Below are 25,628 nucleotides of genomic sequence, written 5' to 3'. Positions count from 1 at the left end.
TCGGTGTAGCTATTTCACGATGTACACATATTTCAAAGCAACCTGGTGTAGACAGTATATACCATTTAAGTTCGTCAATTAAAATAAGTTAGTGAAATTTTTGGAATTAAAAATAAAAACATACACTTATTGCCCTGCAGTTCTATAGTTTCAGTGTAAAGTCTAGAATGAGTGTCTTTGTGTTAAAAATCAAGATGGCAGTGGGGCAGTGTCCCTTCTGGGGGTTGTAGGGGAGGAGCTGTTTTCTTGTGTTTTTCAGACTCTGAAAGCTCCCACCATTCCTTGTCTCATGGCCTCTTTCTCCATCTTAAAAGCCAGCATTTTTGGGGTCGGATCCTTCTCATGTGGCTGTCTTTCTGGTTCCTTTCTCCTGCCTCTTTTACACTTAGAAAGACCCTTGGGATTCCACTGGACTCCCCCAGAGTTAACCCAAGATAATATCCATGTTTCAGGTCAGCTGATTGGTACCTGTCATTAGCACCTTCCAACTCATTTCCTCCCTTGCCTTGTCGTCTCACATGTTCACAGGTTCCAGGGATGAGTTCCTGGACATCTTTGGAGGGTACTTATTTTGCCTACCAAATACACCCTTTCTTTAAATGCACCTCATCTTAAAAATGGCATTGTTTTAGGTGGGCACAGTAGCTCATGCCTGTAATCCCAGCGCTTTGGGAGGCAGGGATGGGAGAATCACTTGAGGCCAGGAGTTTGAGACCACCCTGGCCAGCATAGCAAGATCTCATCTCTACAAAATAATTTTTTAAATGGCACCATTATAAAGAGGGAGGTAGGGTGGATTCCATCCTCTTCTCAGCCCTTGTCCAAAGGTATTGACTTGCATAAACTGAGAAGGCACAGTGACAATAAAAAGCTCATCCTTGCTACCCCCAAGGAGAAACACTGGCTCCCATAAGCAAGTGCCATGAGTGTAAGTCTTTGTGTATGTGTCCGTGTGCTGGGGAAGGGGTTCATTGAGTTAATGGAGGCTTTGAGGTCTGTACTGTCTTCCACCTGGCTGCAAATTGTATGCGATGGCTCAAGGGATCCTCTCACTTCAGGCCTCCCGAGTACCTGGGAATACAGGCGTGTGCCACCATGCTGGCTAATTTTTTTGTGTGTGTTTTGTAGAGACGTGGTCTCAGTGTGTTGCCCAGGCTGGTCTTGAGCTCCTAGCCTCAAGTGATCCTCCTGCCTCAGCCTCCCAAAGTGCTGGGATTGCAGGCATGAGCCACTGTATCCAGCTGACCTATACACTTTGTATTTTATTTTATTTTATTTTATTTTATTTTATTTTATTTTATTTTATTTTATTTTATTTATTTTATTTTATTTTATTTATTTTATTTTATTTTATTTTATTTATTTTATTTTATTTTATTTTGAGACAGGGTCTTGCTCTATCATCCAGGCTGGAGGGCAGTGGTGTAATCATAGATCACTGCAACCTCTGTCTCCTGGCCTCAAGTCATCCTCCCATCTCAGACTCCCAAGGAGCTAGGACCACAGGCACGCATCACCATGCCCAGGTAATTTTTGTATTTTTAGTAGAGAAGCGGTTTTGCCATGTTGAAATAGACTCTCTTTATATAAAACATATGACTCTCTATTCTTGAGTACAGATTAAAAACATCAGTTTTTATTATGTGAATTTGTAGGAGTTTTATGTGTAAATAGAAAAGAAGATGCTTACGATAAAATTAATTTATTGTATTTAAAATGAAAATTATCACATAATTAATATATTAATATATTTGCTTAACAAAATGTTAATATTCTCTTTAAATATCATTACTAACACATAATCCACAAAATCCTGCCTTGGATGTTACTACATAGTTTAGAAGTTTTATTGCATGTCATAATGTTCGTAGTTCCGTAAGTGAATTTTAACATCTCTAAGCACAGGAGAAGATCATATGCATCATTGCCCTTACCTTACACCTAATAAATAGTTGATCATTTCAGAAATCAGGCATTTGAAGCTGTGTGAACATGAGCCATTCATCATTACAGATGGTCCTGATCACATAGATACATGATATCCAGCAATTGCAACTTACAAAGTGTTATCAGTCCAAGATCTGATTGGTTCTGTAAACATAGATGACTCATTTTCCAGTATTTTCAAGTTGCAGCCCGATGTTTTCATACATGTCATTTCATACCTGTCATTTCTGATTTGCCATTAAGCATGATCTGGTAAATTGTTTCTCTCGACTGCTCATGCAGTGTTTGGAACTGGTGCCATAGTAGATTTATCTTCTTCCCTTCAGTATAGACAGATACATGTGCTTATTTCTAAACCTCATCAGCTACCACTAAGGACCAGGAAGCAAAATCTAAATGAGTGACAGCAGTTTCAAGTTATTCTTTGATTCGCTTTTGGAGTGAGTTTGATGCAATCTCCTCGCCTTTTTTAGCCAGGGCCATTTGGTCAAGTTATCTGTCCTCAACCATTCCCCTTTGGGCTGTAATACTGTTTTGGCAAACACAGAAACACTAATGTAGATAGCTCGCACTTACAGTTTCCAGAATTTTTTTTCATACAAAGAAGTTTTAAAATGTACAAATCTCTTTTTTCCTAAATTCACAAACAAGGTTGAATAATATACCACATATACATTTTAATACATATTTAAATATTTGCATATGAATATATGCAATATATAATTAATGTAAACCATTTTATATTTCCTTGCATTTCTTAGAATCAAAGCCAAATCAAAACATTTTAAGTACAATGATATAATTTACTGATAAAATTATTTCCCACTCTTCTATAAATTTACAGAGCCTGGGATTTTTGTCAGATAAGCTTTGGATACCTTAAAGAACTAGCATAGTCCTTTTTTAAAATATATTTTTTAAATTTAGCTATTATTCTTAGTAGAGACAGAGCCTAGGCTGGTTTCCAACTCCTGGCTCAAGTGATTCTCCCACCTCGGCCTCCCAAAGTGCTACGATTACAAGCAATGAGCCACTGTGCCTGGCCTAGCATAGTCCTTTACTAAAAGGAAAAAAAAAAAAAGCCACCATAAATATTTGCTGAGATATTGAGTGAATGGATGGATTAAAAAATGAATTAACCAATGAAGCAGTGTCTGAATTTAGGAGAAATTCTCTTTTTTTTTTTAGGAAAATTAGTTTAAAATGTACTAAACAGCTCCATGCAACTTCTCCAGAATGATGGGCATTCCCCTATGGACATATATGAAAAATGTATATATTTATAGCATATATACAGCTTCCTTGATTAGTGTATTCACTTTATGTTGTACTTTTTTTTCAACAAATGACTATAAAAGCCTGGTTATAATACAATTTCTATAGGCACTAAAACAAACAAATAGCCCCATCCCTATCTGTGTTCAGAATTTGAAAGTTGTTATTTTTGGGTCATTTTAAACCATGTTTGTGTCTCTTTTACTGAATTTGACTTCGTAATGCTTTTTTATTTTTTTAAATTTCTTTTTATTTATTTTAATTTTATTTCCATGGGTTATTGAGGAGCAGGTGGTGTTTGGTCACATGAGTAAGTTCTTTAGTGGTGATTTGTGAGATTCTGGTGCACCCATCACCTGAGCAGTATACACTGAACCAATTTGCAGTCTTTTATCCCTCACCCCCTTCTCACCCTTCCCCCCTGAGTCCCCAAAGTCCATTGCATCATTCTTATGCCTTTGCATCCTCATAGCTTAGCTCCCACTTAGGAGTGAGAACATAACGATATTTGGTTTTCAATTCCTGAGTTACTTCACTTAGAATAATAGTCTCCAGTCTCATCCAGGTCACTAGGAATGCCATTAATTCATTCCTTTTTATGACTGCATAGTTTTTTTATCATATATATATAAGAAACTGATATATATATAAGAAACATATATAAAAGAAACATATATATAAGAAACATATATATATATGTATATCAGTTTATCCACTCGTTGATTGATGGGCATTTGGGTTGGTTCCCTGTTTTTGCAATTGCGAATTGTGTTGCTGCAAACATGCTTGTGCAAGTATCTTTTTCGTATAATGACTTCTTTTCCTTTCTTTTCCTCTGGGTAGATACCCAGTAGTGGGATTGCTGGATCAAATGGTAGTTCTGACATTCTCCCGCCGCCCGCGCACCTCTCCACCCCGCAGTCCCCGCTCTGCGGCTCACCCTCTGCTGCGCTAGGCTCCCGCGGGTGCTCGGCCCGGCGCCCCTCCGCCTCCTCCCTGCCGACCCTAGTCCTAGTCCTCCTGCTGCCCCTGGAGCTGAGCCTGGCAAACGCCCTTGCACCTGGGACCCCTGCTCAGAATCTACCCGAGAATCACATCGACCTCCCAGGCCCAGCGCTGTGGTCGCCTCAGGCCAGCCACCACCGCCAGCGGGGCCCGGGCAAGAAGGAGTGGGGCTCAGGCCTGCCCAGGGAGGCCCAGGATAGGGCTGTGCTCACCGCCACCAGGCAGGCTTACAGGCTGCCAGGGCCTGAGGGGCCGCTGCCTGAGCAGAGTCCTGCAGGCCTGCTGCGGGTCAAGGACCTGCTCCTGGGGCTCGAGTTTCCCTACCCCAAGAAGGAGAATCGGTGTCCAGGGTGGTAGAGAGCCAGGAAACGCAGCAGGGAGTACAAGAGACGCAGGGACAGGCTGAGGCTGCACCGAGGCCGAGCCTTGGTCGGAGGTCCCAGCTCCCTGATGAAGGCGGAGCTCTCCGAAGCCAAGGCGCTGGATGCGACCATGGAGGATTCTTCCGCCAGTCTGGCCCCCACCATGCTCTTCCTCACCACCTTTGAGGCAGCACCTGCCACAGAAGAGTCCCTGATCCTGCTCATCGCCCCCCTGCGGCCCCAGGCACAGCGCAGGCCTGACGGGGAGGTGATACCCACACTGGACGTGGCCTTGTTCGACTGGACCGATTATGAAGACTTAAAACCTGATGGCGGGCCCTCTGCAAAGAAGAAAGAAAAACCAGGGTAAACTCTCCAGTGACAGTAACGAAACATCATCAGCAGAAGGGGAACCGTGCGACCATCACCAAGACTTCCTGGAGGGTTGCGCTGCTATGCCAAATTCCACCAGAACCTCACGTCACACAGAGGAAGGGGCGCTGCCTGGAGCCCGAGACGGCCAAAGGCGACCAGGGATCCTTCATCAACGTCTAGCCGCTCCGCGGGACTGCGGATGAGCCCGGGAGGTTTGCACAAGATTTGTTTATAACTAGCAGTGGGAGATCAAGTGAGGGACCAGATGGCCGAGGCTGCAGGCTCAGGCCCAGGACTCTCGACCCCGGAAGGGGTGCTGCTAAGTAAGCGAGCTGGGTGGGTACCCAGGTGCTGGCCGGGTACCCAGGTGCTGGCCGGCAGCACCGGCGCACTCTCAGTCCGGACCCACACAGCCTGGTGTCGCGCTCTCCGCGATGGCAATACCGAGATTGCCCTCTACTGTCCGACTGCAGCACTACAACAGCTTCAAGTTCAAAACCAAGAGGCCATTTTGAGAGTGGAAAAGAAATTTAAACTTCCCGAAAGAAGGTCCACGGGCTGGAGATAAATATGGAACACCTCCTATGGACCAGGCACTATGCTCAGCGCTGGACTACCTTACCTCATTGAATTATCACAACGACCTTTTCAAGTAGGCATTATCACCACGCGACAGATAAGGACCCTAAGGCACACTGGAGTGATTTGGCTTGCCCAGAATCCCAGGTCAATGTTCTTCAAACCTTAACATGCTAAGAATCGCCTGGCGGTCTAGTTGAAAATGCACATCTGACTCAGTGGGCTCTGCTCTAACAAACTCCCAGGGCATGCGATGCTGCTGGCCCAGGGACCCCACTGAGAGGTCCGGGAAAGTACATGGCAGAGCAAGGACCCGAACCTGGGCCAAGGCTGTCCAGCCCCAAGATCCACGTTCCTGCCTCTCCACGACCAAAAATTTCTTCTAGATTCTCCAAGGCTTTTGGCAAGAGAGGCTTGCACCCTGGCATTCCCTTTCTCTGTGGCTGGAATAACTTCACTGTTCTCTGCCTTCCCTGGACAACGGCGTATCATGTTTAAAAACAAAACAAAATGCAAAAGTAACCAAAAAAAAATGCTAGTTCTACTTTTAGTTCTTCAAGGAATCTCCACACTGTAATGCTTTTTTAAAATATGTGCTTTTTCGCTGAGCCCGAGTTAAGCCATCATATCCCCTGTGACCTGCAGGTACACATCCAGATGGCCGGTTCCTGCCTTAACTGATGACATTCCACCACAAAAGAAGTGAAAATGGCCTGTTCCTGCCTTAACTGATGACATTACTTTATGAAATTCCTTCTCCTGGCTCATCCTGGCTCAAAAGCTCCCCCACTGAGCACCTTGTGACCTCCGCCCCTGCCTGCCAGATAACAACCCCCTTTGACTGTAATTTTCCTTTACCTACCCAAATCCTATAAAACGGCCCCACCCCTATCTCCCTTCACTGACTGTCTTTTCGGACTCAGCCCGCCTGCACCCAGGTGAAATAAACAGCCTTGTTGCTCACAAAAAATAAATAAATAAATAAATAAATAAATAAATAAATAAATAAATAAAAATATGTGCTTTCTATTTCTTGCTTGTATTTTTTTGTATTTTGAAATTGATTTAGGAAGTATATATAATCCATAGAGACCTCAGCCCATTTTTAAAGATTCATGTTACAAACACTCCAATAGCTTCCTGTGGGTTTGGCATGGTAGGAAGTACAGGTGAAAGAAGACAAATAAGACAGAACTGGTATTCAGGAGCTTGAGAAAATGAAGAACCCTGGCAATCATAATGCAGTGTGAGAAGTGTTATGAGACATGCATTTGCGGGACCCCTAGGGGCACGTGTCTGTCTCCTAGTGCAGCCCAGGAGGTATTGTCATGGAAGACATCCCTCTTAAATCATCTCCCAGAGGGTGGCATCTGATGAGGTAGGACGCAAATGCACTGGGTTATTAAAGTATTGCAAATAACTCCTGCACACTTCTGGTACAAGTACAAATTGGTACAATCCCCGAGGAGAAATATTTGGTAATATCCACCAGTAATAAAATGTATTAATGATCAGATATGGGACCCAGCTCTCCCAGCTGTTCCATTTTTGAGAATGTTTCCTGCAGAGACACTTGCCCATGGATGACGTGGCGGATGCACAGTTTTGTTCACGGCAGCCCTAGCCTTCGCACAGAGTTACAAACACCCTAGATGTTCCTCAGGAGAGGAAGGATTCAATAAAACACTGTGTGTCCAAATGGTGGGAATGCCACTACAATCAAATGATAAGGAAGGCTTTCTGAGATATGATGTTAGGTGAAAAAAGTGGGTTGTAAATGGATGTGTATGATATACTATATATTATGTGAACAAGGGAAAATACATATATGCCTTTACTTGTTTCTTATAAATGTATAAAGTCATCTCAACGTGTATGTAAGAAGCTGACAAAAATATTTGTCTCAGTGTGTGGTGTTGTTATATGGGACTAGATACAGGACTCGTTGGGGTGAAGGATGAGAGGGAGATAATGGTCCAAGAAACAGCTACAGGCCTTCTCCAAGCTTCCGCAGTCATCAACTCATGGCCAATTCCATTTCATCCCAACTCCTAGACATTTCTGCCTGCCCCAGAGTAGAATATCTTGTATATATACAGATGCACACACACACACACACACATTCATGTGCTTGGCTTATGGCCCAAATAAGATCCATGCATAAAAATTAAAGGTAAAATTTTTCTTTTAAATATGTACTTTGTCAAACTTGTGCAATAATTATGAAAGCCTTAATTATGAATGGAGTAAATTAAGTTTGTTATTATTATCAAAGTCTCCTAGACACAATTTTATTTTTATTATGACTTTTAACTCACAGAGATCTTTACGTGTCTTTTTACATTTTTAAATATACAGGGCCATTGAAGGCTTTCTTTTGATATTAATTTTTAAATTTTTGTATTAGAGTCAGAAAATTTCAGATTCTTTGAAATTTGAGAAGACATACTTTATGTCAAGTGGGTAACCAAGTTTTAGAAAATTTTCTGGAATGCTTGAAAAGATTGTGTGTTCTCCAATTATTTGGCGTAGTTTTCTATATGTGTCCATTATAAGGAGCTTATTAAACTATTAAATCTTTTATATTTATATTACTTTTGGTCTCTATGCCAGTCATAGACCATTCTCACAGCTGGTGAGAATATGCTGAATTATTCCAATATAATGGTGGATTTGTTCATTTCTATTTTTGTTCTGTTAATTTTTCTTTTATGTACATTATATATATTAATGCCATTTAATTAGATGCATGTAGATTTAAATTGTTATAGCTATCTGAGAACTTAACAGATTTTCTCAAATGGATGACTGTTTTATCCATAAGGATGACTTTAGCATTAATATTTAATTCATCTGATGTTGATACAGTTAAGCCTCTTTTACTTGGGTTAACATATATTTGGTGTTTGGTTTTCCATCATCTTCTTTTCAAACCTTTTGTGTCTTTATCTTTTCATTATAGAGTTTAATCTGTTTGTATCCATTGTGTTTGTGGACTCATTTCTATCATCTTATATTGTACTTTCTGTTAGTATACTTGCTGTTCATATCACTTTTATTCTGTCTACCTTGTTTGTGTTTGTTTTATTTTAGCTTGATTATTACCATTTTATTTTGTCCTTTATTGGGTCAGAAGTCACATCCTCTAATTTCATCCTTTTATTGGATATTATAGAAATGTTATAATATATATTTTTTGAAGTGTGTACACAAATAAAGTGAATGAGTAACCTGACTCTTCTTCAGAAAAATATAAAGACCACACAAAGTGGGCACATAGCTGTGGAGGGACAAAGGTGATGCTGGGCACACAGACTGACCACACAGAGCTGGGTCTCTTCAACAATGTCGTATGTCTACGTGAAGAAGGATGCCAAGGCACACTCTAAGATAATGTGTGTGCGGGGGAGAGGAGGCGTGTGTGTGAATGTGTGCGGCACACCTGATGCATGCTCAGGAGTGTATGTATATCTGTGCACCATTGTTTTTAATTCAAAAAGTGCATAGCTTTCATTTTCACAGGAAGTTATGATGCCTCATACAGCAAGTACCTTTGGTACATTTGGATAGACTTTTTAAGGTAGCATCTCATTTTTGTCACCAATTTAGCAGCTGTCTGCATTCTAAAAAGCTGGATTCAACTTTAAAACTTCCCCAGTCTAGTATAGTATAGTGTAAACAGATCAATCACCATAGAAGAGGAATTAAACAGGCATATTTTGAGCAGGCGAATGGAACATGGAACCACTTTAAGTAGCAGAATTGGACCTGTGTGTTTAAAAGCACAAAAGGAACTGTGAAATATCTAAAATCCAATAGCTAAGAGAAATTTCACATGGAGAGACTGAGAAACTTCTGCAATAATTATGAAAGCCTTAAGTTATGAATGCAAAAAGACAGTGTTGCAGAGATTTCTGTAGTAATCTCCAAAGATGAATCTGTTGCCCACTGAAACTCAGGACAATAAGGAAGCAGAAAGTTATAGCAAGACTGGGCTAATTCTAATTCCATTGGCCATGCCCGGCTAAGCATTTCATTAATTCTTTTTTTTTTTTTTTTTTTACTCTTTTGGTTATTTTATTTTATTTACTTATTTATTTTACTTTAAGATCTGGGATACATGTGCTGAACGTGAAGGTTTGTTACATAGGTATACATGTGCCATGGTGTTTTGCTGCGCCTATCAACCCATCATCTAGGTTTTAAGCCCCGCATGTATTAGCTATTTGTCCTAATGCTCTCACTCCCTTTCCCCCCAACCCCTGACAGGCCCTGGTGTGTGATGTTCCCCTCCCTGTGTCCATGTGTTCTCATTGTTCAACTCCCACTTATAAGTGACAACATGTGGTGTTTGGTTGTCTGTTCCTGTGTTAGTTTGCTGAGGATGATCGTTTCCAGCTTCATCCACGTTCCTGCAAAGGACATAAACTCATTCCTTTTTATGGCTGCATAGTATTCCATGGTGTCTATGTGCCACATTTTCTTTATCCAATCTATCATTGATGGGCATTTGGGTTAGTTCCAAGTCTTTGCTATTGTAAATAGTGCTGCAGTAAACATACGTGTGCATGTGTCTTTATAGTAGAATGATTTGTAATCCTTTGGGTATATACCCAGTAATGGGATGGCTGGATCAAATGGTATTTCTGGTTCCTTGAGGAATCGCCACACTGTCTTCCACAATAGTTGAACTAATTTACGCTCCCACCAACAGTGTAAAAGTGTTCCTATTTCTCTGCATCCTTGCCAGTATCTATTGTTTCCAGACTTTTTAATGATTGCCATTTTAACTGGCGTGAGATGGTATCTCATTGTGGTTTTGATTTATTTGCCTTCCTCTAATGACCAGTGATTATGAGCTTTTTTTCATATGTTTATTGGCAGCATAGATGTCTTCATTTGAGAAGTGTCTGTTTATATACTTTGCCCACTTTTTTCTCCCATTCTGTAGGTTGCCTGTTCACTCTGATGATAGTTTCTTTTGCTGAGCAGAAGCTCTTTAGTTTAGGTAGATCCCATTTGTCAGTTTTGGCTTTTGTTGCCATTGTTTTTGGTGTTTTAGTCATGAAGTCTTTGCCCATGTTTATGTCCTGAATGGTATTACCTAGGTTTTCTTCTGGGTTTTTATAGTTTTAGGTTTTACGTTTCAGTCTTTAATCCATCATGAGCCAAGTTTTGTATAATGCTTAAGGAAAGGGTCCAGTTTCAGTTTTCTGGCTATGGCTAGCCAGTTTTCCCAACACCATTTATTAAACAGGGAATCCTTTCCACATTTCTTGTTTTTGTCAGGTTTGTCAGACACGAGATGGTTATAGATGTGTTGTGTTATTTCTGAGGCCTCTGTTCTGTTCCGTTGATCTATATATCTGTTTTGATACCAGTTCTACACTGTTTTGGTTACTGTAGCCTTGTAGTATAGTTTGAAGTCAGGTAGCATGATGCCTCCAGCTTTGTTCTTTTTGCTTAGGATTGTCTTGGCTATGCGGGCTCTTTTTTGGTTCCATATGAAATTTAAAGTAGTTTTTTCCATTTCTTTGAAGAAAGTCAGTGGTAGCTTGATTGGGAGAGCATTGAATCTATAAGTTACTTTGGGCAGTATGGCCATTTTCACAATATTGATTTTTCCTATCCATGAGCATGGAATATTTTTCCATTTGTTTGTGTCCTCTCTTATTTCCTTGAGCAGTTGATTGTAGTTCTCCCTGAAGAGGACCTTCACATCCCTTGTAAATTGTATTCTTAGGTATTTTATTCTCTTTGTAGCAATTGTGAATGGGAGTTCATTCATGATTTGGCTCTCTGTTATTGGTGTATAGGAATGCTTGTGATTCTTGCACATTGACTTTGTATCCTGAGACTTTGCTGAAGTTGCTTATCAGCTTAAGGAGATTTTGGGCTGAGATCATGTGGTTTTCTAAATATACAATCATGTCATCTGCAAACAGAGAGAACTTGACTTTCTCTTTTCCTAATTGAATACCCTTTATTTCTTTCTCTTGCCTGATTGCCCTGGCCAGAACTTCCAATACTATGTTGAATAGGAGTGGTAAGAGAGGGCATCCTTGCTTCGTTCCGGTTTTCAAAGGGAATGCTTCCAGTTTTTGCCCATTCAGTATGATATTGGCTGTGGGTTTGTCATAAATAGCTCTTATTATTTTGAGATATATTACATCAGTGCCTAGCTTATTGAGAGTTTTTTGCATGAAGGGCTGTTGAATTTTGTCGAAGGCCTTTTCTGCATCTATTGAGATATTCATGTGGTTTTTATCATTGGTTCTGTTTATGTGATGGATTACATTTACTGATTTGCGTATGTTGAACCAGCCTTGCATCCCAGGGATGAAGCCAACTTGATTGTGGTGGATAAGCTTTTTGATGTGCTGCTGGATTCGGTTTGCCAGTATTTTATTGAGGATTTTCACATCAATGTTCATCAGGAATATTGGCCTGAAATTTTCTTTTTTTGTTGTGTCTCTGCCAGGTTTTTGGTATCAGGATGATGCTGTCCTCATAAAATGAGTTAAGGAGAATTCTCTCTTTTTCTATTGTTTGGAATAGCTTCAGAAGGAAGGGTAGCAGCTTCTCTTTGTACCTCTGGTAGAATTCGGTTGTGAATCCGTCTGGTCCTGGACATTTTTTGGATGGTAGGCTATTAATTGCTGCCTCAATTTCAGAACTAGTTATTGGTCTATTCAGGGATTTGACTTTTTCCTGGTTTAGTCTTGGGAGGGTGTATGCGTCCAGGAATTTATCTATTTCTTCTAGATTTTCTAGTTTATTTGCATAGAGGTGTTTATAGTATTCTCTGATGGTAGCTTGCATTTCTGTGGGATCGGTGGTGATATCCCTTTATCATTTTTTATTGCATCTATTTGATTCTTCTCTCTTTTCTTCTTTATTAGTCTGGCTAGTGGTCTATCTATTTGGTTGATCTTTTCAAAAAACAGCTCCTGGATTTATTGATTTTTTGAAGGGTTTTTTTGAGTCTCTATATCCTTCGATTCTGCTCTGATCTTAGTTATTTCTTGTCTTCTGCTAGCTTTTGAATTTGTTTGCTCTTGCTTCTCTAGTTCTTTTCATTGTGATGTTAGGGTGTCAATTTTAGATCTTTCCTGCTTTCTCTTGTGGGCATTTAGTGCTATAAATTTCCCTCTACACACTGCTTTAAATGTGTCCCAGAGATTCTGGGATGTTGTGTCTTTCTTCTTATTGGTTTCAAGGACATCTTTATTTCTGCCTTCATTTCGTGATTTACCCAGTAGTCACTCAGGAGCAGGTTGTTCAGTTTCCATGTAGTTGTGCAGTTTTGAGTGAGTTTGTTAATCCTGAGTCCTAACTTGATTGCACTGTGGTCTGAGAGACTGTTTGTTATAATTTCCATTCTTTTGCATTCGCTGAGCAGTGTTTTACTTCCAATTATGTGGTCAATTTTAAAATAAGTGCGATGTGGTGCTGAGAAGAGTGTATGTTCTGTTAATTTGGGGGATGAGAGTTCTGTAGATGCCTATTAGGTCCACTTGATCCAGAGCCGAGTTCAAGTCCTGGATATCGTTGTTAATTTTCTATCTCGTTGATCTGCCTAATATTGACAGTGGGGTGTTAACGCCTCCCATTATTATTGTGTGGGAGTCTAAGTCTCTTTGTAGGTCTCTAAGAACTTGTTTTATGAATCTCGGTGCTCCTGTATTGGGTGCATTTATATTTAGGATAGTTAGCTCTTCTTGTTGGATTGATGCCTTTACCATTATGTAATGGCCTTCTTTGTCTCTTTTGATCTTTGTTGGTTTAAAGTCTGTTTTATCAGAGACTAAGATTGCAACCTCTGCTTTTTTTTTTTTGCTTTCCATTTCCTTGGTAAATCTTCCTCCATCCCTGTATTTTGAGCCTATGTGTGTCTTTGCTCGTGAGATGGGTCTCCTGAACACAGCACTCTGATGGGTCTTGACTGTCTATCCAATTTGCCAGTCTGTGTCTTTTAATTGGGGCATTTAGCCCATTTACATTTAAGGTTAATATTGTTATGTATGAATTTGATCTTGTCATTATGATGCTAGCTGGTTATTTTGTCCATTAGTTGATGCAGTTTCTTCATAGCGTCAAAGGTCTTTACAGTTTGGTATGTTTTTGCAGTGGCTGATACTGGTTGTTCCTTGCAATGTTTAGTGCTTCCTTCAGGAGCTCTTGTAGGACAAGTCTGTCTGATGGTGACAAAATCTCTCAGCATTTTCTTATCGGTAAAGGATTTTATTTCTCCTTCACTTATGAAGCTTAGTTTGGCTGGATATGAAATTCTGGGTTGAAAATTCTTTTCTTTAAAATGTTGAATATTGGCCCCCACTCTCTTCTGGCTTGTAGGGTTTCTGCCGAGAGATCTGCTGTTAGTCTGATGGGCTTCCCTTTGTGAGTAATCTGACCTTTCTCTGTGGCTGCCCTTAGCATTTTTTTCCTTCATTTCTACTTTGGTGAACCTGACAATTATGTGTCTTAGGGTTGCTCTTCTTCAGGAATATCTTTGTGGTTTTCTCTGTATTTCCTGAATTTGAATGTTGGCCTGTCTTGCTAGGTTAGGAAAGTTCTCCTAGGTAATATCCTGAAGGGTGTTTTCCAGCTTGGTTCCATTCTCCCCGTCACTTTCAGGTACACCAATCAAACATAGATTTGGTCTTTTAACATAGTCCTATATTTCTTGCAGGCTTTGTTTCTTTTCACTCTTTTTTTCTCTAATCTTATCTTCTCGCTTTATTTCGTTGAGTTGATCTTCAATCTCTGATATATTTTCTTCTGCTTGATCGATTCAGCTATTGGTACTTGTGTATGCATCACTAAGTTCTCTTGCTGTGTTTGTCAGCTCCATCAGGTCATTTATGTTCTTCTCTAAACTGGTTATTCTAGTTAGCAGTTCCCGCAACCTTTTATCAAGGTTCTTAGCTACCTTGCATTGGGTTAGAACGTGCTCCTTTAGCTCAGAGAAGTTTGTTAGTACCCACCTTCTGAAGCCTACTGCTGTCAATTCATCAAACACATCCTCCGCCCAGTTTTGTTCCCTTGTTGGCTAGGAGTTGGGATCCTTTGTAGGAGAAGAGGTGTTTTGGTTCTTGGAGTTTTCAGCTTTTTTGCACTGGTTTCTCCCCATGTTCGTGGATTTGTCTACCTTTGGTCTTTGAAGTCGGTGACCTTCGGATGGGGTCTGTGAGTGGACGTCCTTTTTGTTGATGTTGCTACTATTTCTTTCTGTTTGTTAGTTTTCCTTCTAACAGTCAGGCCCCTCTGCTGCAGATCTGCTGGACTTTGCTGGAGGTTCACTCCAGACCCTCTTTGCCTGGGTGTCACCAGCAGAGGCTGCAGAATAGCAAAGATTGCTGCCTCTTCCTTCCTCTGGAAGCTTCGTCCCAGAGGGGCACCCGCCAGATGCCAGCCAGAGCTCTCCTGTATGAGGTGTCTGTTGATCCCTACTGGGAGGTGTCTCCCAGTCAGGATACATGGGGGTCAGGGACCCATTTGAGGAGGCAGCTTGTCCCTTATCAGAGCTCGAATGCAGTGCTGGGAGATCTGCTGCTCTCTTAAGAATGGTCAGGCAGGGACACTTAGGTCTGCTGAAGCTGCGCCCATAGCCATCCCTTCCCCCAGGTGCTCTGTCCCAGGGAGATGGGGGTTTTATCTGTAAGTCCCTGACGGGGGCTGGTGCCTTTTTTTCAGACATGCCCTGCCTAGAGAGGCGGTCGGGCAGCAGTGGCCTTGCTGAGCTGTGGTGGGCTCCACCCTGTTCAAACTTCCTGGCAGCTTTGTTTACCCTGTGAGGGTAAAACCACCTACTCAAGCCTCAGCAATGCCCCTCCCCTCACCAAGCTCAGGAGTCTCAGGTCGACCTCAGACTGCTGTGCTAGCAGTGAGACTTTCAAGCCAGTGGATCTTAGCTTGCTGGGCTCCATGAAGGTGGGACCCACTGAGTCAGGCACCAGAGGGAATCTCCTGGTTTGCTGGTGGCAAAGTCCATGGGAAAAGCGCAGTATCTGGGCCAGAGTGCACTGTTCCTTCCTCCCATGCAGTCTCTCATGGCTTCCAGTGGCTAGGAACAGGAAATCCCCAGACTCCTTGCACTTCCCACGTGAGGCAACACCCACCTTGCTTTGGCTTGCCCTCTGTGGGCTGCACCCACTGTCCAACCAGTCTCAATGAGATTAACTGGGTCCCTCAGTTGGAAATGCAGAAATAGCCTGCCTTCTGCGTTGATCTTGCTGGGAGCTACAGACTGGAGCTGTTCCTATTCGGCCATCTTGCCAGCAATTGGGTGAAAAAGGTTTTATTTTGTTCTCAGTCAACTGAATTATTTTTCTCCATTTTCTTGCCACTCTTAATACACATGAGAGGCCCTAGGATAACATCTGTTAGCCTGGGACTCCTTGGGAACAGAGGAGGTGCTACAGACTCCATTTTAGAAGAAAGCCTCTATTTTCCTTATGAAATCCCAGGAGTTAAAAGTGGATAGATCTCTCTCAAAATCCAGGACTCTGTTTTGTTTTGCATTGTGTTATCTGATGATTTTGAGTTTTGGGGATATCAGAAACTACTTCACATTATGAGAGATACTTGATGTGTAATAACTAGGCAGGAAATATACTTTATGTGATGGCTAATACTGGTTATGGAGGGCTACTTAACTATTTGCACATTTGGAACAGAGAGGCATTCTCTCAGCCACCCAGAAGATATAAAAACATCCCCAATCTGACCTGAGAAATGAGACTCCCACAGATGATGGGCTGATTGCAAAAAGAACTGTTTATCTTTGGGTTGCCTTGCAATGAAATGCATGGTAGAAACACTGTGCTATCTTTTCCCATAGCATTTCCCTCCTTTGGGGGATCCAGGATCCAGTATAAAATGGCACTCTTAATTTTGGGGATCTGGCTTTGCCTTCAGATGTGTCTGATTATCAGACCCTAGGAATGCCTGCTTTCCTGTCCCTGTTCTTCCAAGGCATCCCCCGAAGCCAGTAATCCAATTAAGAAAACGGCAAATGAAAAATCTTTAAAGTGTTGAATCTTCTGTCTGTGTAGCTATACATGTGTTGTGTGTAATGTCTATAAAAAGAGCTCTAATTGTCTTAAGAAATAAGTGCTTAAATTAAATATGTTTTAAAGGAAAAATAAAATCTGTAATGCCTTTTATTTCATGTGATGTTAATCTTTAATAAATAAAAATAGTCCTAAGGATTATTGGTAAAATACAAGTGTTGTCAAAATGCAAATAGGTGGTCTAAATCATACAATTCTCATACTAGGTTTGATAAATGTTTCAAGGTTGTAAACTGCCTGCTTTACAACTTGGTGAGGCCTGGGGACATACAAAATTAACCACACCCCTAATTATACTGAAAAAAGTCAGACTTTCTCTGTGTCTAGTATATAATGAAAACAACTCACCAGGTTTCACATTAAAGTTACAAATTACTAGAAGTTATCATTATGACATGTAATTTAAACTACTAAAAATAGATTTATTTTCAAGGTGTGTAAAGACAGTAACGTATGCTTTTAGTAAATGATTATAAGAAGGCATGGAAATGTAAATTTTGCCTAGGGATAAAGGATTGTTTTAAATTAGATAAACTAAAGCTGAAGATTTAAGCAAGTTATGAAAGATTGCAAAAATTAATCTTGCAAAAAAATCCCATGTATAAACAGTAACTAAATTCAAAATGGTACTACATGGTTTTTTCATAAATTGAGCATTTAAATAAAGGCACAGCAAGATGGTCTTAAGATGCTAGTCTGCCTTTTAGCAAAACGGTTATAAAAGGTTTGCAAACATTTCACCCATGGTCAAATTGGTTAAGATTAGATGTAATTGTCTATGAGATTTCACTAAAAATTGGGATTAACTATAATAAACTAATTCAAGGGTAAAATTTGGCTTTGAACAGGATTTTCATGTAATAGTAAAGGCTAATGAAAGATTTTTGCCTTATGAGTCATCATTTTGGCAAAATAAATAATTTATGGTAATCTGGAATTCTATTTCATAACATCAAGTATTTTAAACCTCTAACTAACCTGCACAATGTGCACATGTACCGTAAAACTTAAAGTATAATAAAAAATTAAAAAAAAAAAAGTTAAACCTCTAACATACTTAAGAGGCTTCTCAAAATCACACCTCAGTTTTAAAATTGTCTTTCCTGACACCTGGCTTTTTGGAGACTTCAGAAGGGCCCTTAAAGTGTCCAGAAAAAAAAAGGTTAACAGGATTATTTAACATGGTTACGTATGTGAGATTGCCAAAATGATGTTTAATCTTCTTCAGGTTATATTTTAGTGAATAATATTAGTGTATGTTTCAAAATTGTGTGGGATTTCTAAAATTCTAATGTTTAAATATATACTATCAATTATAATTAAGGTTGAAGTTATTGTAAACAACAGAAAGAACCAAATCTCTGTCAGTCGTGTTTTTAACTGTAACTACCCTGGAAATTTTGTCTTTCACAGACAATTGCTGTCTTGCTTTGTTCCCTTTCAAAAGATGGTTTATAATCAAGCTATAGGACTTTAACAGTTGTTCTCAAATGCAGGTTTCTAATCGCTTTGAAGATTGTAACATTGGAATAGAGAAAATATACAGGATTCATGAGGAGCTGAAATGTTTCTGAATATCAAACAGTAGTTGAACTGCATGAATTACACTAATAGAAGTCTGAAGTAATCTTTTTTAACTTTTTGCTTGAAACATTGCTAATCTTTGTTTTCTTCTTCAAAGTCAAGGAAACTTTTCCTTTAAGATATCTATTGCTTTTGTCAATTAAGTAAGGTAGGCTTCTTGAACAAAATTTGAAGCATATTTGTTTTTCACTGCCTGGTTTCTCTAAAATTCGGAGACTGTGAGTATTCTTAACTTATGGCAATATGGTTTGGATCAGTGCATTAAGAATACATTTTCTTTATAAAAGCCCCTTGGGGAAAAAAAGAAATAGACTTGCCTCATACAGTCATCTATGCAGTCCCTGTACAGGGTTCCTGACCTGCAGTCAATAAAGAATGTCACTTTATAACAGGTCTAGGAGCTCTGAGTTTATCTTGGGACTTTAAGAGGAAAGGATCACCCAACTCACAGGTATTTGAGGATATAAACCCATGGCTGGACTTGGCTTTAAGAGGTCTTATCTAAGATTCCTTGTGAAACAGAGTTCCGCCAAAGTCAATTTAAAAGCCCGTGGGAAAGATAATTATTCTTGCTGCACTTTATGCACAGAATCAGGTGAAGTATAAAACTAAAGTTTATTCTACAAACAATACGGTTCTATCATAATTTGTTTTTACCAAAAATGAGGATTGGAGAGAGAAAAATTATGCTCCAAAACTTATCATACATTTGTTGTAAAATTTTAGTCTCATTGGTTGTTTCTGAGTGTTTTTGCCTACATTTTAGATGAACCCTGCTTACTCTTGTGAACCAAGTAGTGATCTCCTACAGCTTGGAAGAAACAAAAAGGGATGGGTAAAGTAAAAATCTGGACCAATATGCTAGTTCTGGGCAATTATCCTGAAAATCCTGCCAGGTAATGAAAATAAATAGGGTACCCATAACCTGGAGTTTTCTTTGGGAAAATAAAACCAAAGAACTTCATAGACCCCCAAAAAGGGAAATTCTATATCTTGACAACTTAAATTTTAGATGGAAATAATCTACTATGGCACCTTTGTGGGAATTGCTATACTCACTCTACTATTTGCATTAGAGCTATACATAGTAGCACCTTCTAACTGAAATGTTGGACAGAGAGTTTCCATTGCTGTTGCATTTCGCTTAAGTATTATCCATATAGCAGAAATAATAGCTACTGACAAGCAGTAAACATGAAGGTTTTACTATCTCTGAGTCTGCTGGGACTTTTTATCGGGTTTGGTAATATGTCACACCCTAGCTATGCAAAGTGGGTTGTAATAAAATGGAGGTTTATATAAGAAAGGATCTTGTATGGTAAATTCTTGTCCTAAAGAGAATAACTGGCTGTTAAAAAGAGGGATGTTTAGGACAAGTTAGAAAGTTAAACATGCTGTAGATGGTCTGTGGGAGTCATTAAAGGATTAATAATTGCAGCAAAGATTTAACCAAGGTTAACACTAAAGTTACACTAGCCACCCAAACCTAATGCTATTTATCCTAAAAAGAGTTTTACTTTTATATTAATGTTTCAGCAATATCTGGTGGATGCAAACCAGTATTAAAACCCACTGGAATGGCTGACAGCAATCAAATTCCAAATGGTGCTGCAGACAAAACCATGACACACCTTTCTTCTGAGGACTCTTAGATCAACCCCAGGAGCAGCCCTAGCTTCTGTTGCCCACAAAGCACCCCCTTTCAGCAGAAAGTAGCCAGAAAGAGTCATTGTCCAACACCCCCAACAGCAGTTAGGGTCCCCACTCCTTAGGGGGAAATAGTATAGGAATTAAAAAGAAATTATTTAGGCAGATAGTCAGGGTAAGGAAGTCCTCAGTAAGGTTTCCCTTTTAATAAAAAGCAGTCCCCAAATCCTTTCTTTTCTAATAAAGACCAGCCTCTAAGATCGAGCTGCAGACATAGATAAGAAAGCTGAAAGCTTGCATAATGGCAGCTGTGCCAATAGGAAAAGGCTATCTGGGGGCTAGGCATATCCAACATGGTGGCCCCATCTTTCCTTTTCCTTGCAAATCGCGTGTGCAGAAGGGAGCAGACAACATGGAGCCACCAAGTAGCAAACACATTTGCACAATAAAAAAGATTAGGGTGGGGCGGCAAGGTTCTTTGTGTGCTATGAAAACATCACACCTGGTCCAACCAATCTTTGGGCTCTATGTAAATCAGACATTGCCTCCTCAAGTTAGTCTATAGAACCCTATGCACTCCACCACAAAACTGGAAGACCCACTCAGGTGCCCCTCTCTTTCTGCAGGAGGGAGGGCTATTCTGTTTTCTCTTCCTTTTTCCTATTAAACTTCCACTCTTAAACTCACTCCTTGTGTCGGTTCATGTCCTTGATTTCCTTGGCATGAGGCAACAAACCTTGGATATTGCCTCATATGAGCCATGTCGCTTGAATATCACAGGCCATTTTATCCCTTCAATGGAAACCATGTTAAATGGACTATTTATGATTATAAATGGGTGACTACCAGATGAACAAATGTGGTATTTCATAATATCGGACTGCTAGCTTTTTTCTGCCTTTGCTCCATTTTGACCTTAAGATGTTCATCAACCCATTTTTTTCCAAGCAAAGTACTTGACCTTTGGACCTGCTATAATATTTCACTGAAATCTGGCATTAAAAAATTTAGGTGGGTATTTGGAGCTCCATGTATTGATTACAGTTTTTAAACTTGTAATAAATAACTAGCATCCTTTGAACACCAAAAATTGTTTCCTTTTGACATTTAATTTACTCTGTTTAAAATGAGAGATGTAAAGTGGTGGTTTGTCAGTGACCTAGCCATTTTGTTTTAGAGTATCAAGAACTTGGAAAAGTATGATGAAAGAACTCTTTTTGGTGAAGGAAGTCAACTTAAAAAAGAAATCACTGTTTTCCAAAGTAAAACTGTGTCAGAGACTGTAAGTAATGCATATTTAATCTTAGTAACTCAGGATTGATGTAAGCACTGGAATATTTTATTTGCAAAAATGTTATCACAATTACTTAAATTTCTTTTTTTTTTTGAAACAGCTGCAGCAAGAGTTGGCACTTATGCAGTTGTCTCTTCAATCTCTGTTATTCTGATGATTGAAGAAAAAACCTTAACCTATGTTATATGATACAAGCATAACTTCAGTTACACAAAACCACACGTTAGACCTTGTTTCTGCAATCTGTTGAATGAACCCTAGACAGTTCTAAGAGAAAGCAGCAATTGCACAGTTATATACATGGTCAATTAAATTTCAACATTAAAAATAATTTAGTTTTAGGTTTGGCCACTGTGGATCTGTATCAGTTCCAAAACTGTAGAAAGCATGGGCATGGAAAAGTACATTTGTCTCTAATAAAAGAAGACAAAACCTATTTTATCTGTGCATTCTTCTTTATTTATCAGTAGGTTTAAGAAGCAATTCCAATGAAAGTATTGTTGGGAGCAGGACCCCCAAAATCTGGCCATAAACTGGCCCCAAAACTGACCATAAACAAAATCTCTGCAGCACTGTAACATGTTCATAATGGCCCTAACACCCAAGCTGGAAGGTTGTGGGTTTACGGGAATGAGGGCAAGGAATACCTGGTCTGCCCAGGGCAGAAAACCACTTAAAGGCATTCTTAAGCCACAAACAATAGCATGAGCAATCTGTGCCTTAAGGACATGCTCCTGCTGCAGTTAACTAGCCCAACCTATTCCTTTAATTTGGCCCATCTCTTCGTTTCCCATAAGGGATACTTTTAGTTAATTTAACATCTATAGAAATGATGCTAATGACTGGTTTGCTGTTAATAAATACATGGGTAAATCTCTGTTCAGGACTCTCAAGTCTGAAGACTCTGAGACCCCTGGTTTCCCACTTCACACCTCTATATTTCTGTGTGTGTGTGTCTTTAATTCCTCTAGCGCCACTGGGTTAGGGTCTCCCCAACTGATCTGGTCTTGGCAAAGTATGACTTCAAAAAATAGGTATACTCTATGGCCTTATCAAAATTTTTACTAGCACCTTAACATCTGTGTTTTTGAAAAAGTTAAACTAATAAATGATTAAGACAACTGTGCAAGATATATTAATATCAGTGTTGAGCCACTGGCTTGTAGGTATGTTATTTCCACAAAGACATCAAATTGCCATGTAGTTTGTTTTGGTCCACCATTCAATGATATCTCCCCTTAGCACTGATTGAAAGTATTTCGTTAACATTTATATACGCTTACAATTATTTCACATCTATAGCAAGGTAAATTATGTAGAGTGCTTTGTTTTTCAAGTTTAATATTTGTGGAGTATGTGGAAGTTTAAGTATACATGCATCTAAAAACTTAAGTGATGAATTCTCCTACCTTTCCTTTTGTAATGTGCAGTTTTTATATGTAACAGCATACAAAATATTCATTTCCAAATGCTTTATTTAGTAAATATATAATTCAGAATATATTTGGAGTAAGTCAGTTAAATGTATTTTTTTGCTGAGTTTCTGAAATTCCATTCATGAATCATTCAAAACACAATACTCCCATTGGGGGAGTAGAAGAGGGACTTCCTCTCATTTTTCCTTGTGCTTTTCATTTTAATTGGTCCCTATATACCATTCTTACCTTTTCAAGATTTTCCAAGCTTAAGAAAAAAAACAAGTTCATTCAGATTCTGTTTTTCTGCCTGCAATCACTTATACAGGAATAAGTGGGTCCTTATAGGGAGCATTTAATTCCTAAAGTTGCATTTTCATAAAGGATTTTCCTTTTACCCAACACATGTGTTGGTATATAAGCCTAAGTACTGTTTCAAGTTTCTAAGAAGATTCATATTTGAGACTTCTTTCAGTAGTTACAGAGGCAAAATAAGCACTGCAGCAGTCCATGTGAGAGTTCCATTACACATACTGGCCTATCTAACTATATAGTGGAAGGACGATAATTAGGTCACAATGTACTTAGTGTGGAACAGTTGATATTTATGCCACCCCTTACTACCTCGAATAAGTAACTGTGTACTTGAAGTCCCTTTGGCAGATATTCTGAAGGGAAGAAAGTCTTTGCCCTTAAAAGTTATTAGGGGTGTGTATATATGCATGTGTGTGTATAAATGTGTGTATATATATATGTGTGTGTCTCTGTGTGTATATATGTGTATATATGCATACACATGTATGCATACTTATATATGTATATCTACATGTACATATATATGTATATCTACGTGTACATATATACATATATGTGTAGATAGATGCACAAACACATATATATGACTTTTGTTTTTAGAATTGTTTTTAGTTCACAACAAATTGATCTGAAGGTCTAGAGATTTCTCATTTACCACCTGTTCTCCTGCCATACCGTTCTCTGCTATTCATATCCCCCACCAGAGTGGTGCCTTTCTTACACTCCATGAACTTACATCAACAGATCATTATCACCCCAATTCCATAGATTATTTCAGGGTGCACTCTTGGTTACTATTTTTTTAGTGACTATTTTTCTCACATCACCTGTGCTATAGCCCCTATTTTACTTTTCATAAAGAGAACATTTAATTTATTCTTTTTTTGTGACCATTAAATTTTAGGTTCGAATACCAGAAATCAATCACACTAAAACAAGTGTAAAGATTCACTTTTCTCCTGAAAATGGTAAGACAAATAACTTTTATTTACATACATATGCTTGAAAAATTGTAGTTAGTGCTTTTAAATTCTAGATTGAAGCATATATTTTCTTTTGTTCCATAATAAACACCTGCTTCGAAGAATGGCTGATATCAAGAGCATCATGTCTCTTAATATTGTCTCACTCGACAGCTGAATGTTGAAATGTACAGTCACAAAGCACTAAATATATCCTTAGAGCAATAACGCATTGAACAAAATTTAGAGGTCTCCCAAGGAAGTTTGCCTACAAACCAGTGGCAAGTCCTTTCCTTTAGCAACTGAAACCCAGGAGAAACAGAGTCTCTTGTCTCTGCCTCTTGGAGAGGAGTTCTCCTGACACCGGAGGGAAATGGCCATCTCATCTGCCTGATGTTAGTTAAAATTTCATTTTGGATTGATAGGTTCATATCTTCGTGAAGATATCTAAATTAAGGTGATCAAGTCAAATCACAAAATACTCTACTCACTCCTTAGGAGGAACTTAACTCTTCCCTGATCTCTGTGCACACACCTGATTTATTGCACTCACAGTACATAAGCTCTGAGATATGAAATTGAACCAGAACCAGACAGTGCATTGCATTCTTATCCAGGCAAATCAAGGCTCGCTCAGCACTGCTCATCCAAAGCACACTGAAATCAATTCTTATTTATTTGTAAAACAGACAGTGATGATGGTATCTGTGTCAGAGGGTTACTGTGAGTGTCAGAGGAAACAATGATGGTGAGAAGGTTAGACACATGGTACATGTTGAATTAATGTTAGCTATTAGTTACCAATACCTTCATGATTTTCACTGATATGTATTAGTTGCAAATGTGTATGGGATAAATGTGATATTTTGATACATGAATATGGAAGGATCAAATCAGGATAGTTAGGATATTATCACCTCAAATTTTATCTTTTTTTGTGTGTGTTGAGAACATTGCAAATCTCTTCTAGGTATTTTGAAATACAGGATAACTAGAGTTACTCATCTGTGCTATTTAATACTGGAACTTATTTCTTCTCTTTAAATGTATGTTTGTGCCCACTGTCCAGCATTGCTTTTTCCGGGTCATCCCTGCTACTGTTTCCAGCCCCTGGTAGCTACCATTCTACTCATTACCTCCCTGAGATCAATTGTGTCCAGGAATAAATAGCCATTAAGTGATAAAAATTGACTAGTTGATAGTTAATAATCATGACTGGTCTATTCTTTGTCTGCTACACTTTCTTTCATCTATGTATGGCAAGTGCCTACTTAATCTTTTAAGCTTTGTGTCAAAGATCACCTTATTCTTCACCTCTTCTGGAATCTGTTTGTTCTCAAACAAAATTCTGTCCCTTTTCCTCTCTTTTAGTGGTTCTGTACCTTTCAAACCCCATATTGTGGCTGTTATTTACTTAACTCTTACCCCTGAGAGTAAAAATCTTATCATAGTCCTAGTTATATTTTTGGAGCCTGGTGTGTTCCCAGCAATACAGAAGGTGCACAATACATGTGTACTAAATAATTGAAATAATAAATGCTGGCCTGGCACGGTGGCTCACACCTGTAATCCCTGCACTTTGGGAGGCCGAGGTGGGTGCATCACGAGGTCAGGAGTTCGAGACCATCCTGGCCAATATGGTGAAACCCCATCTCTACTAAAAATACAAAAATCAGCCAGGCATGGTAGCAGGTGCCTGTAGTCCCAGCTACTCAGGAGGCTGAGGCAGGAGAATCGCTGGAAACTGGAAGGCGGAGGTTGCAGTGAGCTGAGATTGCACCATTGCACTCCAG

General features: G+C 39.4%; 1 pseudogene; it reads left to right on the top strand.

Annotated features, from left to right (window-relative positions):
* Positions 4,106-5,321, top strand: DRAXINP1 (dorsal inhibitory axon guidance protein pseudogene 1; annotated as a pseudogene).

Source organism: Homo sapiens, chromosome X (genome assembly GCF_000001405.40).
Source record: "Homo sapiens chromosome X, GRCh38.p14 Primary Assembly".
NCBI lineage: Eukaryota > Metazoa > Chordata > Mammalia > Primates > Hominidae > Homo > Homo sapiens.
This window is presented reverse-complemented; position numbering and strand designations above follow the sequence as displayed.